This window comes from Homo sapiens, chromosome 7, assembly GCF_000001405.40.
Source record: "Homo sapiens chromosome 7, GRCh38.p14 Primary Assembly".
NCBI classification, from domain to species: Eukaryota; Metazoa; Chordata; class Mammalia; order Primates; family Hominidae; genus Homo; species Homo sapiens.
In genome coordinates this window covers 128,156,585-128,174,567 of record NC_000007.14, presented here as the reverse complement: position 1 = coordinate 128,174,567, position 17,983 = coordinate 128,156,585, and the positions used below count along the sequence as shown (strand labels likewise).

The 17,983-nt window shown below is 52.8% G+C and overlaps 2 annotated features.

The window, feature by feature from the left end:
• Positions 5,600-6,436: an enhancer, noted in NCBI's record as "H3K27ac-H3K4me1 hESC enhancer chr7:127808185-127809021 (GRCh37/hg19 assembly coordinates)". NCBI's record gives its function as "activates a minimal SCP1, AML or CMV promoter by ChIP-STARR-seq in naive H9 embryonic stem cells {active_cell/tissue: H9 hESC(naive)}" and the evidence as "EXISTENCE:reporter gene assay evidence [ECO:0000049][PMID:30033119]".
• Positions 6,437-7,273: an enhancer, noted in NCBI's record as "H3K27ac-H3K4me1 hESC enhancer chr7:127807348-127808184 (GRCh37/hg19 assembly coordinates)". NCBI's record gives its function as "activates a minimal SCP1, AML or CMV promoter by ChIP-STARR-seq in naive H9 embryonic stem cells {active_cell/tissue: H9 hESC(naive)}" and the evidence as "EXISTENCE:reporter gene assay evidence [ECO:0000049][PMID:30033119]".

Sequence of the window (17,983 nt, the reverse complement as noted above, 5' to 3'; positions counted from 1 at the left end):
GCAGCCTGAATACGTCATGGTGGGCTGGTTGGCCCTGCACAGGGACAGGGCCCACCCGCTGCTCTCAGCACACACCGCGGCGCTGCCACCTGACCCACGGCAATAAGCCTGCAGGTTTGCACCAGATTCCTCTCTTGTGAGCTGACTCTGTAAATCTACCCTGGCGCTGAAAGAAGAGCACAAAACGACACAAAAACTCAGGTTCAAATCCAGCCCACCCCTGGTGATATGAGCTTGGAACTCAGCTTTCTCAGCTGCTGTTATTATTTTTTGTTTTATCAGCATCATACAGACATATACCAAGTCCCTGGGCCAAGCTGACACACTCCTGTCCCTGGAGGCGGAAGAAACCCTGGGCCTTCAAAGTGCAAGAGGCTGAGGACAGAGGAGACAGATTCCGGATAAGGACAGGTTCTGGGTCCTAGGAACAGGGAATCTTGAGACATATTTATATTAAAACTTGTTTGACACTGGGTGCAGTGGCTCACACCTGTAATCCTAGCACTTTGGGAGACCAGCCTGGGCAACATGACAAGACACTGTCTCTACAATTTTTTTTTTTGCAATTAGCCGAGCAGGGTGAGGCACTTGTAGTCCCAGCTACTCAGGAGGCTGAGGCAGGAGGATCACTTGAGCCCAGGAGTTTGCAGCTGCAATGAGCTGTGATTGCACCACTGCACTCCAGCCTGTGCAAAAGAACAAGACCCTGTGTCTAAAAAAATAATAATTGTATTTATCTGAAATTAAAATTTCACTGGGCATTTATTTGCTAAATCCAGCAACCCTACAGGAGGGGAAGGAAGACATTAAAAGGTGTAGCAAATGCCCATGCCCCAAGAGATGGGTCTGGAGGTGAGGGTCTGCCTGGCTGAGCTGGGTTTGGGCTGACAACTTCAGGGCTCCAGGGCTCTAAAAACCAGGTGGCAAAATTTCACAGACTTTTCTGTCCTCAGAGCACTTTCTGGAAATAGGCCTTAGCCAGCAAAGTACGGTCAATTTCTTAAGGCAGGCGAGGCTGGGCTGGGTTGGGGGCTGGGGAAAGATTCAGACTTACACTCCTACCATCTTACCATCTATTAACCCCAAAAGACGAAGTCAACATGACTCTTCCCGACTCCACAGGAGCAAAAATGTCCTCCCACCACTTGCCTTCTAATCCTCTGCCTGCATGCATAGGACCTTTTATTCCACACGTAAAGACTTTGAGGATTCATCGCCCAATGAAACTGAAAGGCCACCTGGGCAGGATGGCTCACACCTGTAATCGTAACACTTTAGGAGGCTGAGGTGGGACGATTGCTTGAAGCCAGGAGTTCGAGGCTGCAGTGACCTATGTTTGCACCACTGCATTCTGGGCTAAGCAACAGAGCAAGATCCCATCTCAAAACAAAACTGAAAGCGTCTTCAGGCCCATCTAGTCCCCTCTGGTTACTGCTGAGAAGTCTGAACCCAGAGGAGGAAAGGTTGCCCAAAGCCACAAAGTGAGGGAGGGGCTGGGCTAGGCTGGAACCCAGGTCTCCCCACCAATCTGGTCAGCTCAACTCCACACTCGGAAGCCTTGACCTTCAGAATAGAAATATCATTGACTTAATATGCAAATCCATTTACCAGCTCCACAATCTGCAATCAATAGGCACCAAAGAGGGTCTGAGGTTCTGTTCAATTACATCCCAACTAGAAACAAAGCTGCAGAGAATCCTCTTCTGAAAAGGGCAGAGAACTTCCAGGGCATCCGGAGACAGTGCCACTTGCTGCGCCAGCTTTGGGAAGTGATTACAGCTTACAGGTGTCTTCCCTGACAGACACAGACAGCATGTACTGTGGAGTCAGGAGACCTGGGTACAAAACCTGACCTGGGTGGTCTTGGTTCATACCCTGCCTCAGTTTCCTCATCTGTGAAATGTAACTCACAGGGATGTTGCAAAGGTTAGTGAGATTGGGCACAGGGCCTGAAGCACTTTATTATAAGGCCCACAATGCAAGGGCTGTCTTGACATCTTTGAGTCCCAAAGGCCTAACCACGAATTCCCCAGCTCTCTCCAGACATGCTCTTTCCCACCCAGGGAGAAAAGCTCCCCACCTGGCTAGTTTCCTATTGGTCAGAACAGCCGCATTGCACCTGGTCTTCAGCCTAATGGGTTTCAGTACCCAGCCAGCCCACGTATTTATTCAAACAAGCCAATCACAGCCTCCTGCAGGAACCAGGGATACCACACCCTTTGTCACTATAAAGCTGCCTCCCACAGCCCCTGCTGTTGGCTCAGCTCCTGGTGCCACTCCCGGCTGCAACCCTCGTATGCCCTGCATGGCGTGCTGTGTCCTCCTCCCCCAGGCTGTGAAGGCAGGTGGCGAATAAACTGCTGCCAATCTCATCTGCCATTGTCCAATGTTGTATGTTCAGCCATCTCATACTATTTAGGGCAGGGAATCCCTTGTTTACCAACAGGGCAGATAGGAGGTGGCCAGAACAGGTCACTTAACAAAGCTGTGGACTCTGATGCTAACTTACACCCTAAATCCCCCCCTCCTGGAGTGGGGACCTCCTTGTATTCTTGAATGGCGGTGCTTGGGCTTTCATTCACAGAGAGAGGCTGAGACCCTGGCAGCAGGAGAGCTTGCCAGGAGGGAACAGCATTTGGGGTCTTCTCGGGGTCAACAGTACCTGCCCACTCCCGTGACACACTTGTCTTCACTGTATCTCATCAACTGTAACTACAGCCCCATGAAGGGCCATGGCTGGTGCTTCATTTGTGTTCGTACTGTGAGAAGAAATGTTGAGTCCAAGGTCACACAGCCAGGAGAGATAGGGCTAGGTCAATCCTGCCCCCTCCCCACTGTCAGCACCGACCCTGCACCCTGCAGCCTCTGGGGAAGCAGAGCCACTGCCCACGGGGTGCTCTTCTACGCTGAGGGGATGCCCTCCCAGTCTCACGGACTTCACCCTCAATAAAATGGCTCGAGGGCACTCACACTGTGAGTATTCCTGTGATGGCTGCACAATCCAAACAGCGGCCTTGGGCATGAGATCTGGGTATCCTGGGAAGCTCCACTTGGGGACGAGCACACAGTTAGTTACCTATCCCAGCTCTCTCAGACCTTGGCTCAGCCCCCACTGTGCCCAGGGGTCCAGCTGCCACACAGTGAGGTAATCACGAGGACTCCACATGATTTCCTGTAGGATGGAAGACCCTGAGCTTCTTGTCCCCAAGAGTAAACTTTAGAACTCTTTCCATTTTTCCATAGATCCTCCTGTCTTTGTTTTGGGGCATAGGGGCTGCCAGCTGGAGTCCTGATTTGGAATCAGGGAGGGGTGGTTTTGGCCAGCCTGGAGCTGTTCTCCATACATGCTTCCCGTGGGCACAGTGGGTCCCCAGTTTCTGAACAGTGGGACGTGGGCTTCCATCTACAGGGAGAGGCCGAGACCCTGGCAGGAAGAGAACTTGGCCAGGAGATGATAAAGTTACCACTGAACCTGAATCAGCCTTTCCCATACCCGAAGGCACCCTGAGCCTCTCAGGAACCCAGACATTTTAGTGAACAAAGGAGCCAGCTCTCCTGACAAGCTCTGACTTCAGATGCAAATAAAATGTTGTTCAGACACACTCAGGACAAGCCTGTGGGTGCCTTCTCTGCTTCAGTTAACCCCCATTATGCAGATGGAGAAACTGAGGCTCATCATAAGGACTTGCTTAAGAAAACAGCATGGGGCTGAAGGGAGAATCTGACCCCCTGTTTTGGGCATGGTGCTGCATCAGTCCAGCTCCCTGCTAAGCACCTGACCCAGGGCACTTAAAAGACCAGAAGCTCCTCTGGCCCATGATGTCTGCAGTCAGACAAGGACAACTGCAGAGGCTCAGGCTCTCTCCCCAATGACCAGTACCATGTCACTGTGCTGGCTTCCTGCAGGGTGGGGTCCTGCACCTTCCCTGGCTTTCCTCTCCAAGGTCTCTGCTGTGCAAAACCAGAGAAGCCATGCTCATATCCACAAGCAAACTTCTCTGTACCTGCCCGATCTTGGCCAGCCTTCCCATGAGGCTGCAGCCAGATGTTACCCAGCTGAGCACAGAGGAAGGTCATGGAGCCAGAGAAGCTTGGAAAGTGGTCAGGCATGGGGCTAGGCAGATGGTGGCAGCTTTGCACTCCCAGGGGACTGAATTTGGGCTGAAAGACCCTGGGGAGACCACTGACCTTTAGTGGAAGGCTCATCCTCTTGCTCTCTGTGTGTTTTGTCCACACTGCCACCTCCTTAACTGAGTCATACGCTGTTCTTTTTGTCTGAAAAGTAATTCATTTGAGAGAACAGCCATTTTCAGCTTCCCTCGAGACCCGTGGACACTCTGAGAATGTCACAGGAGCTGGGCTTAGACTTCTACCCTGTCAGAAGGAAGTGCCACTGGACTGGGGTGGCTGCCTCTCCTTCCCTTGTCCCCAGCCTGGGGGGATTTTTCTCTCCTCTCTCTGGTAGCTCAGCAGTAGGCAGAACAATGTCTGCTTCAGAGAAAAGGCCATTTTGTGCGGAGAGTGTGACTGCCTCACCCCAGGTCCCAGAGCTTCTGCAAAGAGGCACCCTCCTCTCCAAGCCCAGATCTCCTCTCCTGCCCTTTGCCTCAGTGGAACAAAGACAACACATGGATCTGTCCTGGGCCAGATCCGACAAGGTTGGCCTAGTCTCTGCTGCCTGAGAGAGAAGAATGTGGAGAGAGGAAAAATTGCCCAATTCCCTGGTAGGAGAAGGGCTCCCCATCTCCAGCTTACCAAAGTTCTCAGAAGTAGGATAGGCAGGATGGAGAGAGGGGACTTCTCCTTGACTTTCTTCACCTATCCCTGAATCAGCTAGGGCATCACACAGGCCCTTTCTGCTCTTCCTGGAGGGTTTGGGATGACACTAAGGAGACACCTTTCTCTCTCACTAAGGAGAGGTGTCTAGGACGATATTCCACACAACATACGAGCATTTGTCAGCTAAAGGAGTGGGGAGAGCCACAGGTAGAGTTGCTGTATCCTGGATTCCACTTGGGATGCGAGCATCCTCAGAGGTCTCTGGGTGGCCACATCCCAGTGAAAGCAGTCTGCACAGAGCCGTGGTCCCACAAAAGTCACCTCTAGAGGTGTCTTGGGGAGCCCAGGGCACATCTGTGGTGAGAATCTGCACATACATCTCCCATCCAGCGCCCCCAAAGCCATGACATCATCTGAACCCTCTCTGCTGCTGGAAATGGAGAGATGGTTGGGGTTCATTCCATCCCCTTCCACCGGAGGAGGCCTGGATTTAGAAAAAGAGAGGAAGGAGGGGCTGTGAGAATGTCTGGAAGGGGGTCTAGGGTCCACCAGTTGCGTTTCAAGAATCCAGAAAATCCTAGATCTAAGAGTGCCTTCTGAAGTCTGGCTAGCCTTTGGGGAAGGAATCTGGCTTTATTCACTTATTTTAATGAACTGAGGTGGGAAAGGGAGCCTGTAGCAGGGCTGTAGCAGTCTCTCTTCAGTCACTGCCCTTTGGAGAAAGACAGGCTGTGATGTGGTGACGCCTGCCAGTCAGTTTCAGAGATTTCCCAGGCAGGTTCTGGCCCTGGGTGCTCCTGGCCACCCGACAGAAGTCCGGGATGGGAAGGCCGGATGTGTGTTTGTGTTGGGGGCAGGGAAGAGGGTCTAGGATAGGGTACTGGAGCTAGCTGGAAGCTATAAAGGCCAGGGCGGGGGCGTTCCAGGCCAGGGCAAGGAAAGAGGCCCCTCAGGGCCAGGTGGGGAGCTGTCCGGATCCTGGTGCTGAAAACCGAGAGCGGCGATCAAGGGGGCGGAGAGCACCCAGCAGAGCTTGCGCCTCCGCCCTAGGTGAGGGGGTCGCGGGGGATGGAAACGGATTCCTCCCCATCCCCTCTTCTACTCACTCTCCAAGGAGGGAAGGGCACAACGAGTTGGGGCGAGAAGGCAGGATGAGCACTAAGAAGTGTGCAGCCGCCGGAAGCTGCGGCTATGGGGAAAGTGGGCCGCGACCCGGGTGTGAGTAGGGTGTAATCTGGGCCAGCTGGAGGGATGAGCAGGGAAGAGACCCTGGAGCAGGGCCGCTCCCTCGCTGGCTTCCTACTCTCCGGGCAAGTACCATGGGTGCACGAGGTGTTCCCACGCCTATGGCACAGACACGCATGCACAGAGGACTTCCGTGGGCGCATACACACCCCGTGGACACACGGGGTACGCTCCCAGAAGTGACACACACCAAGCACACGCAGGCAGCCCCGTACACGCACCCTGCAGTGGGCACCAGCTCCCACCAGGCTGCCGAGGCTCCCGCCCCAGCCCGCGTCCTCTGGCCTGGACGCCCCTCCAGCTTTGCTTCCGACCTCAGATGGCGCCCCTAAGGGAAGCGCGGCCGATGGGAAGCCCCAGTTCTAGCCCGAGACCAGGAAGGTGCGGGAGAGGGGCAGGCAGCCCGCTCCTACGCCCAGAAAGAGCGGGGCGACACCGGCGGAGGGGTAGGTCTCAGACACCCATTCTTCTTTCCCCAGACTCCCAGTCATGGAGCCAGGACACGAGAGGAGTGTGGACGGGAGCGACTGTGCGTGTCTCCCTCCCAAACTGGGGACACCCCGAGGACCAGCGCGTACCTGTGCGTGGGAGGCCCCGCGTGGAGCCCCCTCAGCGAGTCCCGACCTGCTGGCTCCTCTGGCTGCCCCTGGATAAAGGTGGGGTGGGAGTGGGGGTTACCCGCCTGCCCTCCACAAGCCTCCCGGATGTCCGTGGGCTACGGAGAAACTCCTGCCCGGGCGGCGGGAAGTTGCCTGGGTTCGGGCGCTGGGAGGGGGCGCCCTCCCGTCCCCGGGCTTAGCCGGGGCTCCCGCGCCCCCGCGCCAGCCGCCCTCGCCACCTCGCCGGCGCCCTCCCGCCCGCAGACTGCGCCGAGCCCGAAAGCCGGGAGCCCGCCCGCCCTCCCGGAGAGTCTGCTGCTGACCTGCATTGACGTCATTGCGTCATTAGGTTTCCCCTGGAAACACTGGCTCGCCCGAAATAGTAACACATTAATTCAGGCCGGGGGAGCAGGGAGATACTGTTTGTAACCCTGCAGCTAACTCGGCTCGCGCGAGCGAGCGCGGAGCCCCCACCCCTCGCCAGGGCAGCGCCGGCCGCGCTCGCCTACTATTTTGAGAACAAAGAAAGGCAAAATATAGAACCCGGCAGAGAGGGTGCGGGGGACGCCAAGACCCTCTTGCCTCGCTCGCACGCACACCCACAGACACACGCGCGCGTGCACACCACGCCTAGGTCTGTCTACCCTCGGGCGGACTCTCGGGAACCTGCTGGGGGAGGGGGTGCCCAGATCCCCCGCGCTCAAGGACAGGTCCGAGTCGGGGTTTCCTACCCAGCTGAGGGGGACAGACAAGGTCCCTCCTCCCACCCTCTACCTAGCACGGAGGCGGACACGGCCCCTCCCCACCCACACCTGCGGGCCCGACTGGGAGGAGCTGCTCTCCCAGACGGACGGCGGAGAGCCCCTGCCCTTTCTCCCTCGGCCGCTCGGGCTCCCGAAAGTGGGGGAAGCCCTGCAGGGGTCCAGCCGGCCGCCCGCCGTCCCCCACAAGCTCCTCGGCTGGGGTGGGCCAAGCCCGCCTGCCGCGCCCCCGCACCTCCTCCAGGGAGGAGGACTGGGGGACCAGTTGCTCTCGCCGGCTCCACAATCGTTTGGGCCGGGTAGCGACCGACTTTTGTGAGCGTCCTCTCTCTGCGGCTCTCCGCCGGCCAGGCGGGCAGAGTTCCTTTACTAGCTGTCCCTTCTTCCCAGCCTGGGCCCTTGACCCAGTCTCTCTCCGAGGGTGAGGAGAATGCGCCTCCAGATCGAAATGGCAAACGCGGAGCCTCGGAATGTCGGCGGAGGCGGGGAGGCGGCGCGCGGAGCCGCGGAACTCCGAGGGCGGTCGAGGGCGCGCCGGCTGGGCAGAGCGGGTTCCGCGGGCTCCCTCACACACCTGAGTAGATGCGGGAAGCAGGGAAGAGCATTTGAGAGGGCATTAGCCTTCCCCTTCCTCCCAAAGGCCGCTCCCGGGCATTGGCGTTCCCCTTCCTCCCAGAGGAACCGGGTGAAGGGCGCAGAGAGGTCCCTGTTGGTTCATTTCACCCTGGGCTTGTCTCGCCCAGGGTGAGATTTTTTCTGGCGGGGGGTGGCGGGGGGTTAGAGGGTGTAAGAGTGTGCCTGAGATTTAGGGAAACGTCCCCCAAGGTCTCTGTGCATGCACAGAGCCTACTGATGTCTTGCACAGCACGCCGTTCCCCCAGCCCCCTGACCCCAGGTATTCTCCTATTGGCCTTTGTTCCTTGCTGACCACAGAGATGATGAGCAGGCAACCACGCACTGACCTTCGTGGACAAACAAACCCAGCTGCCCGCCTCAGGTAGGAGCCCACCAAAGAACAAGTTCTGCAGAGGACATGCCTGGCCTGGCCCCCTGGGAGCTGCCTGGCCCTCCCTCTGCATGTGCCCCGCTGGTCTCGCCCTGAGCTGCAGGGGCCTCGACTGTAAAACCGGGTCATGGAGCCCACCCCACAGGCGGTTGTGAAGATGACAAGCAATAGTACCTAGAATGTGCTGAAGAAATGAGATGCCCTCTTCCTGCCCCTGCCCCTGCCGTTGTGCACGGTTCACTCAGCAATGAGTGAACCAACACTTGCCACCATATGCATATTCCCTGGAGACATATTTGGGGAAACCTGATCAAGGGACACTCGGAGAATAGTGACATTGAGAGGCTGGCCCCCAAAAAGATGGCATCTGTGGTCTTTCCCTCCATATCATCAGCCTCTGCTCCAGACTTCCGAAAGCAGCTCTCCAATGCCTTCAGATTCAGGTTCAATCAAGTGGAGATGGGGAGGGTCAGGTTATGGCTCCACCTCCCTCTCTCTGTGCTTGTTTCCCAGCAAGACATGCACCAAGGCTGCTTTGCTGGGCTCCACCGCTGCTGCCCTTCCCTCACCTGCAGCTCCTGTCCCACTGAGCTGCAGCCAAAATCTGCCTGTTTGGCCCTCTCTCATGGCAGGGACCACATGGCACTCACCTCTGTTCCCCCAGCTGCTTCTGGCACAGTCCTGGGCACAACTGACATTAATGTTGTGTCAGCAAAGATTGAAAGTCCCTTTTTTGGGAACCTACTGCCTCAGTCCATTGCTCCCATCTACCTCTCCATGTCGAAGTCCATGCAGCCGCCAAAACCCAGGTCTAATGCTGATTCCTCCGTGCAGGCCTCTCTGATCCCCAGAGCTATGAGCTCACCTACCGTTAGTCCCTGGATCATGGGGAATGGCTCTCAAGGCTTTGATCACATTGCAGTGTCAATGTGGGATGATTAGTTCTCTAAGCTGCACATCTCCCTGCTGGGTTGTAACTTCTCAGAGCTGGAAGCTGGTCTCACCCATCTCCATGTGCTCCATGTGGCCCAGCTGTGCCACTCAGGCACACAGTAGGTGCCTAGGAAGCTCTGCAATCTGCTTACTGTCTCTCAGCCGAGGGCCTGTCCTGAGATGCAGAGTGGTGCTGATGTTGATATCTCTGAAGACCTGGGCTAGGAGAGGCCTGGCTATTTCAGCAGGAGATCCTGGAGTCCACCCAGGTCCAAGGAGAGAGGCCCTGGATCTGCGCAATGAGCTGTTTGGCAGGAAAGCCAGTGCCTTACAATCACAAGACAGACAGACCCCAGTCTCATCTGGGCCCACAGAAACTTCTGTTATTCAGTGAATAACAATAAACTGGAGACTCAGTGACCAAGGGGTCTGACTCAGCCAGCAAGGATGTGGCAGCTGCCTGCCCAGCACACACATGCAGGCTTGTGACTGGTTCTCTGTGGCCCAGCCCTATCTTGGACACACTGTTGCCCCAGGTTGTTCAGCCTTGCATCCCAGGCCTGTCAGCACATTGATGGCAGCCTGTGAGTCCCAGGGGCCTGCCGGGTCTCCTCATGTAACACTCCCTATCCTCCAAGGTGGGAGTGGAGGAGTTCTCTGTGTGGGAGGGACAGCTGCACCCCACTTTGCCTCTGAGATGCTCTTCCCCAGTAGTGTCTGTGCTGCCACTGAGGGGGCCTTTGGTAACAGGCTGCTTCAGGTAACCAGGCTCATTGTGAGGAGGCACAAGGGTAGGAGGGAATTAGGAGTCCAGGTATGTTCAGACTTAGCTATCGTTGGAATGCAGCGGGGTGGGGCCAGGGGAAGGGGGCTGGGAACCTGGAATGCTGTTTGGCACTGGGGCTCTATTGACTCCCTGGGCTATCTTGTAGCTCTGAGGCAGCAGGAGCTGCAAGATGCCAGGTTGGAGTGCTGCGCTGAAGGTTGCTCATGACTCATTTGTCCCTGCCTCCTTCTGGCTTTCTCACCACATCTCCAGTTCAAATTACTATGAAGGAGAGAATCAGAATGACTCAGGTCGGCACCAGGTTAATGAGAGCCTCTGATTCAGGCCACTTCTAGGCTCCTGGGGTGTCCAGAGATCACAGCCCTTGGGTTAGACATTCCCCACAGGCCCAGTCACCTGGGCTGGAGTACAATTGAGGGGTGAGGGTTGTTGCCTGAACTGAAGTTGTCGTGGCTCCCCCATGGCAGCACTGCAGGAATGGCCACATTTGTGGAAAGACTTCTTTGATGTGTTGAGCACCTTGGCTGTCTTGTCCAATCCAATCATGCTCTGGAATAGGTCTTAACCTCTCCTTCTATCAGCAGTCTGCTGAGATCAGGATGTTGTTGATCACATGGGCCATAGGTTTCATTGCTGAGCTGAGCTCTTCACACCAGGCCTCCCATGGGGCTTGGAGGCAGCTGATCTCACTATATGACGCTGATGGCAATGGGGCCAGAAGGGCCAATGACCTAGTGAGGATCCACAAGGCTGTCTCCCCAGAGGCCACTCTATGTCCTACATCAGCCCCCACATAGTTTGCAAGAATAGGCTCAGCCAGGGAAGACCCGGGACCTCCTGTTGAACATGGGCCAGGAGGAGAGCCCCCCAGTCCCCAACCAGAGGCCCTGTTCTGAGCCCCACAATGGCAAAGTGACTAACTTTGGCAACAGAGTCAAGAAGAAAGAGCCTGGTCAGGAATTAAGAGAGCTGGCTTCTGATTCCAGGACTGCCATTAGGTCCTGGTATAACTCAAGATAAGTGATGCTCCTTCCCTGCAATTCCTTTCACCACCTCCTTCATACACTGGAGGAAAGGGATCATCAAGCAGAGTTATCAGCACAGACGTGGAGACCTGGCAATGACCTCGACTGCAGTGGAAATTGGCCCAGCCAAGGAATCAATGGCCCTCAAATCCAGGGGCTACAGGTGGGCAGATGGCCGAGTGAGATACCCTCTTGGGATTTGGCTTCTGGCTGGCTGGGCCTCTGGTGGCCACAGACTCTCTCCTTTCCAACAGACCCTCCATCTGACCCCTTCTTTGCCTCTCTTGTCTGGCAGCGAAGGTGCTGCAGCCCCCCAAATTCTTCCTAAGAATACAACTGAAGAGCCATTCATTCAGTCATTCAACAACCTCAGTTGGCCCAATGTCACTTATGCTGAAATTGTTCCTCTCTCAATTCCTCTTCCGTGACCAACAAATTCTAACCCAGGCCCTGCCCAGGCTTTTCTCTCAACATTTCCCAGCTCATAGGTCCAAACGTCCCTAGAGGCACCATCATTCCATCATCATCCTGCCACTTTCCAAGCTTGCATCTGAGAGGCATGCAGGGCCCTCTCCACACTCCTCTGCCATGCTGATGCCCCTGCCCCTCAGTCACAATCTGTTTCCCCACATGTTTCTGGTTTCCAATCCCTAGGAAAAGAGCCCTGGGCCAAAAATACCACTTGGCAGAACCCTGAGTTCAAGTCTTGCTTTCAGATAGAGGCATGATTATGCTTGTCACTCTTTTTGGGGTAGAGGTGGAGGTAGCTGAGAAGCAAATGACTAAATATGGAAACTTACCAGGGATCCAGTGGCATAAAATCAAGAGCTAAATTCCAACCGAGGGGCAGAATAGGTGCCAGCTCAGCTGGGGTGGACAAGTTTTGCAATTGGCGTTCAGAGAATGGAGCACTCTGGCAGGCTGGAGAAAGCAGGCCGGGTCCACACAGGAGATGACACTTAGACTGAATCCCAAAGGCCAGTAGGACGTGGGGTGGAGAGAAGGAACTAGAGGAAGAGACATAGATGGGAGCAACTGGATAAAGAAGTGTTCTCAGCCCCAGCTACACACTGGAATCACTTAGGGGTAAGGCTGGGCTGACCCTAAAGCTAATGCAAAGACACTCCAGCCCCACTCCTCAGAAATTCAGATGCCATTGGTTTGGGGTGAGATCTACGCAGTTATATATTTTTTAAATTTTCACTCATACTTTGTGATTTATTGGCAATTATGTGGTATACTATCAGAAATAATTATTTTTTAACTTGTAATATAGTTTAAGAGACTATAGAGTAGTGGTTTAGAGGGAAATCTTATCTGCTGAAATCCTGGCTTCCCACTCACTGGCCATCTGACCAGGAACCATGTCCTAAACTTCCTAAGTTTCTTGTTCCCTCCTCTGTAGAATGGTGACAGTAAGAGTACTACATCTTACAGGGTAGTTTTGTGGCTCACATGAGAGAATGCCTTCCAGCATTGAGCGCTAACACACAGGGCACCATCTTGAATGGCTCTGTAGCTGATTCTAATGTGCGGCCAGGGTGGAAACCCTCTAGGATAAAGCAAAGGCAAAGACATTGAACAAAATGGGCTGTGTTGGGGGCTCTCTTGGGTGTTGGGGAAGGTGTGTATCAGAGGGAGGAGAAACAGAAAAGTTAGGTTAGGACTATATTATCGAATGGTTTAATGATGTGGCAAGATGTTGGGACTCCATCCTATTAAGCACAATAGCAGCCCACATTTGAGCGGTTTGAGGTGATGCCTCAGGATGAACGTAATACCTCAGGAATCTGGGGAGCTGGCAGTCTTGATTGGACAGAGGGGGATGGAATCCAGAGAATACTGTGGGACCAGAAAGGCGATGGAAATTGAAAAGCAAGGATGAGTGTGAGGTGAAGCACAAAGGAAGAATCAACAGGATTTAGTGCGTTGGTGGACATAAGAGCTTAAAGAGATTGAAGGAAGAAAAATAAATTTAAGTTTTCAAGTCTAGAGGGACTAAGGAAATAACCCTGTGTTGGTTAGGATTATATCTAACTGTGAGCATCAGACAACTCACATCAACTGTGGCTTAAACAAAATAGAAGTCTATATCCCTATCAGTTAAAAGTTCAGAAGTATGCAGTTCAAAGCTGGCAAGGCAGTTCTGTCCCACAAAGTCCCTGGAGACAAAGGGCCCTGCCAGCTCACTCATCTGCCATCCCTAGGGTGTGGTCTCTATTCTCATGGTACAAGATGGTGGCACTTGGGTTCCGGCATCCACATGGAGAAAGAAAAGGAGAAGAACTGGCAAAAAGCAAAAGCCAGGATCTCTTGAGTGAGGTTCCTCGTAGCTACTCATCACATTCACTTACATTCCATTGTCCAGAAATTAATCTGATGGCTACACCTGGTTGCAAGGGAAGCTAAGAGTGGCCTTGTACTCAGCTAAAAATTCTGCAGCATTCTCTATGGTAGAGTAGGCACTGTCTCAAAAAGAAAAGGAATTCAGATACTGAGGGAGAGCTGTCTCTGCCATGGCCTCATTTCCTTAAATGGTGAACTTGAAACATGGAGTCAGTTTGGGAACATTTTAAAAAAATATTTTGAGTTTGAAAAATGAGGCAATAGGGCATAGACTCATGGGCTATATGGTAAGCAGAATTCTAAGATGGTCCCAAGAGTCCTGGCTTCTGGCATGCACACCTGTATAACCCTTCCCCCTGGGTGGGACTTGGAAATATGATGGGAGCTTTCAAGGGAGCGTTTAGAGTGGCCTGGTGGGGATGCAAGTCAAATGTAGGGAGTTCCTGAGGAAGCGGCTAATGAGAAAGGAGGCAGTCACCACCATGGAGAAGGCTTTGCACAGCACACAAAATCCTTCCTGAGCTGGCTGCTGTCTCTCTCTCCCAACTCTTCTTCTGCCAGTGTCTTCCTTCCACATTGACCCAAATGCTCTGAAGCTACGGGCCTCCCCACTGTGCTACCTGCAACGCCCTTCGCCTGTTCCCTTTGGTGTGATTAACTCTTATACAACCTCCCAAACTCAGCTCAGACATTGCCTTACCGGGAAATCTTCCCTGACCCACAAGGGCAGTTAGGTGTCTCCCCAGGGCACTCCCATGATACCCCAATCCTTGCTTCACCCCTGCATTTATCACATTTTTAGAATTTTACAGTTGATTATGAGTTTATCACCCCTCTGAGCTCCTGGAAGGCAAGCACAGAACTGACTGTCTTTGTAGCCACAAAATGTAGCACAACTCCTGGGGTGCAGTCAAATCTCAAATACATGGGCAGCAGATAAATAGAGAACCCTCAAAAGCTGGGGTTAAAGGAACCTAGGACAAGGGACATTCACTCCGGAACTGGTAGAATGAGAGGACAAATGTGGAGTGAGATGCTTTAAAGGAGGACTCATTACATCACATTCCACTATCACAAACTAGTAAGGAAGTTTCTTGGCATTTTTAATCATCAAGCTCAATGAGGGTTAGTTTAGGGAGTTAGAAACGTGATCTTGCTAAGAAGGTAGGATGGGACAGTGCAGGTGAGGCAAGGAAGTCTATTTCCAAAGCAAAAAGAAAACCTGAACTGACAAGAGAAAAACAAAAACAAAGAGGCAATGATAAAGCCAACATTCAACTCATGAATTGACTACAAATCTCAACAGGAATAGGGGGCTGTCAAATTCTGAGTAGAACCTCAGGGCTCTTTTTTCCTAGGCACCCCTCACCTAACCCCAGTTCAATTTAATTCAGTGTAATTCAGCAACTATTACTTGATTACCTACTGTGTGCCTGAGTATTCTCTGTGGCTGTAGGCCAGGCATCAGGATGTAGCCATGAAGAAAACAGACACAGGCTCTTTGCTCATGAATAAAGGAAGACAAGCATTAAGCAGGTGTAGTAATTGCAAGTGCAATGAGATGGTTGTGGGAGGTGTTTCTTTGTTTCTTTGGTTCCTCGTCTTGGATTCCTTTGACCCACCTTTTTCTTTTTTTTTTTTTTTTTTTTTGAGGCAGAGTCTTCCTCTGTCACCTAGGCTGGACTGCAATGGCGCAATTTGGCTCACTGCAACCTCCACCTCCCAGGTTCAAGCGATTCTCCTGCCTCAGCCTCCCGAGTAGCTGGGATTACAGGCATGCGCCACCATGCCCGGCTAATTTTTGTATTTTTAGTGGAGACAGAGTTTCACCATCTTGGCCAGGCTGGTCTCGAACTCCCGGCCTCAAGTGATCCACTCGCCTTGGCCTCCCAAAGTGCTGGGATTACAGGCAAAAGCCACCATGCCCAGCCATTGACCCACCTCTGATTTCGGCCATGGCTGTGGTGGACAGTCCCGCATGAGCACAAATTCATCGCTTGCCATAAGTCGCCCCCTTGAAGCTTGTGCACTGACAGGTTTTCATTTCCTGCCCCGGGTTCTTCTCCAACTCTGTGTGAGCCCTCTTGGAAATGACAGGAGAGAGTCCTGGAGTAGTCAGCCTCCTTGTAAACCCAGCAACCTTAGTAACACCCCCTTCCCTTCCACGGGCCTCTCCTCCTTCTCCATCTCTCCCCATTTCTGTACTCTTGATTTCTGTGCTTGCATCTCCAATACATGACCTGTTCTCAAGTCTTTAACCCATACTTTGTTTTGGGGGGACCTAACTTTAGACAATAAAATTACATGGTTCTACGAGAGGGTATGACAAGGGGATTGAACCTGGTTGGACTTCCTAAGGCCTCCTTAGCAAGGTCTTCTTAGGAGGTGATCTAAACTGAAGAGACCTGAAGAATAGCTAGGAGTTCTCCAGAGGAGGAGATGGAGGATGGATGTGCACAGAGCCCGGATGTGCAAAGGCCCTGAGTCCACACTGGGCATAGCATCTTTGAGGAGCTGAACAAAGACCATGGGGGCTGGAGCGATCCCTTGGGAGGAAGAGTGAAAGGAGGTGAGACTTGGATGCAGAGCAGGCCTATCCCGGGGAGCCTTGCACTGTTGAGAACTTCTGATCTCATCCTAAGACAATAGGTAGCAACTGGAGGGTTTTAAACAGGCATGAAACAGATTCATACATTTTTTAAAGATCATATTGGCTGCAGTGTGCAGAGTGGATGGGAGCAGGGGAGAAATGAGACAATTTGAATAGTTCAAAGGCTGATCAAATAATCCAGGGACAAAAATCATGGTGGAGGGAATGGAGGGAGGGGCAGATTCAAGGAGGAAGAATTTGGAGCACTCAGTGTTGGGTTAGATGTGACAGTGAGGGAGAGGGATGAGACAAGGAGACCCTCGGACTTTCAATTTGAGAAAGTGGGTGGCCACAGTGGAAAATACTGGCAAAAGCATGGATCTGAGAAAGAAGACAAGCAGTTCTATTTTGATTTAGTTTGAGGTGTCCCTGAGAATACCAGTGGAGAGAGCCCCGAAACAGTTGGAATGCTCCGAGGGATGGTAAGAGACAACTCCTGCTGGCCTCAGAGGATCGCTTCCCCACTTCTTATAAATCAGCCGTTTGCCACTCAGCCCAGTGCGGAGCTTGGAGATGCTCCTTTCTAGCACGGCCACTTCCTTGACCAGGGAGCTTCCACTGTCACAGGGCTGCACAGATGTTTCTGCCCACCCCACCCCCGGCTCTATAAATAGGTACAGTAAGAGAAGAGTCCCTCCCAACCAAATGGTTCCAAGTCTCATCTTTAGATGTCTCCATCAGTATCTGTGAAACAGAGTCTAGGAAAAAGACTAAAAAAGCTATCTTTATTTAGCCTGGAGAAGAGAAGGAGGGAGAGCTGTGATTCTGCTAGGAATAAACTGCTGCTCTTATCTTTTCCTCCTAAGAAGGCCCGAGGAGGTGGATTTGGGATACAGTTAGAGAACTGATTCTCAAGGGTGGAAGATTTTTGCTCCCATCCACTCCCACCCTGGGACATTGGACACCGTCTGGATGCATTTTTTGGTTATCAGAACTGGTGGTGGGTGGGTGTGGGGTGCTACTGGCACCTGGTGGGTAGAGGCCAGGGATGTCTGGGCATCCTGCAATTAATAGGACTGTCCCCACGACAAAGAATTATCTGGCCCCAAATGTCAATAGTGCCCAGGCTGAGATACCCTGAGTTGGAGGAATCTTAGTTACTTAATTTCTTTTGAAACAAAGAGCAAGCAGTCCCTCCATCCGACTTAAGGGAAAGGGTATTTTATTTGCATGTTTGTTTAGGGTTACAGGTGGTTGGGAGCTGGGATTAAGACACGACAGCAGTCAGGGACCCAGGTCTCTCAGCCATAATTTCCTTGTTTCTGTTTCTCTCTTCTCACTGCTGATTGGCTAAACCTTTAAAAATTCTAAAGAAAGCAACCTGATAGACTCAGCCAATCATCACTGCTCCCTTCAGAGACACCATCATAGGCCACCTTCTTTCACTCTGGCCAACCGGTGAATAGAAGAATGCCTTTTGGTCAGCAGTCCACCTCTCTATCCAATTAGAGGCCACTCTTCTGCAAGGAACAGTCTAGACACCTTCCCTGGATGGGAGACTGTGAGCAGGGCAGTGTAAGTCACAAGAAAATGTTGGAACCAAACACACCAGAGCCGGCATTTACATTGGTCTTCCTGGCACACAGCTATCTTTTTCTTGCCATAGCAAAGATAGGGCTGAATACAAAGCTCTGATTTTCCTTCTTACTCCAAAGCTGCACTGTCCTATATGGTAGCCACTAGCTGCATGTGGCTATTTATTTTATCTTATTATTATTATTTTTTTGAAACAGGGTCTCACTCTGTTGCCCAGGTTGGAGTACAGTGGCGTGACCACAGCTTGCTGCAGCCTTGACCTCCTGGGCTCAAGAGATCCTCCCGCCTCAGCCTGCCAAGTAACTGGGACTACAGG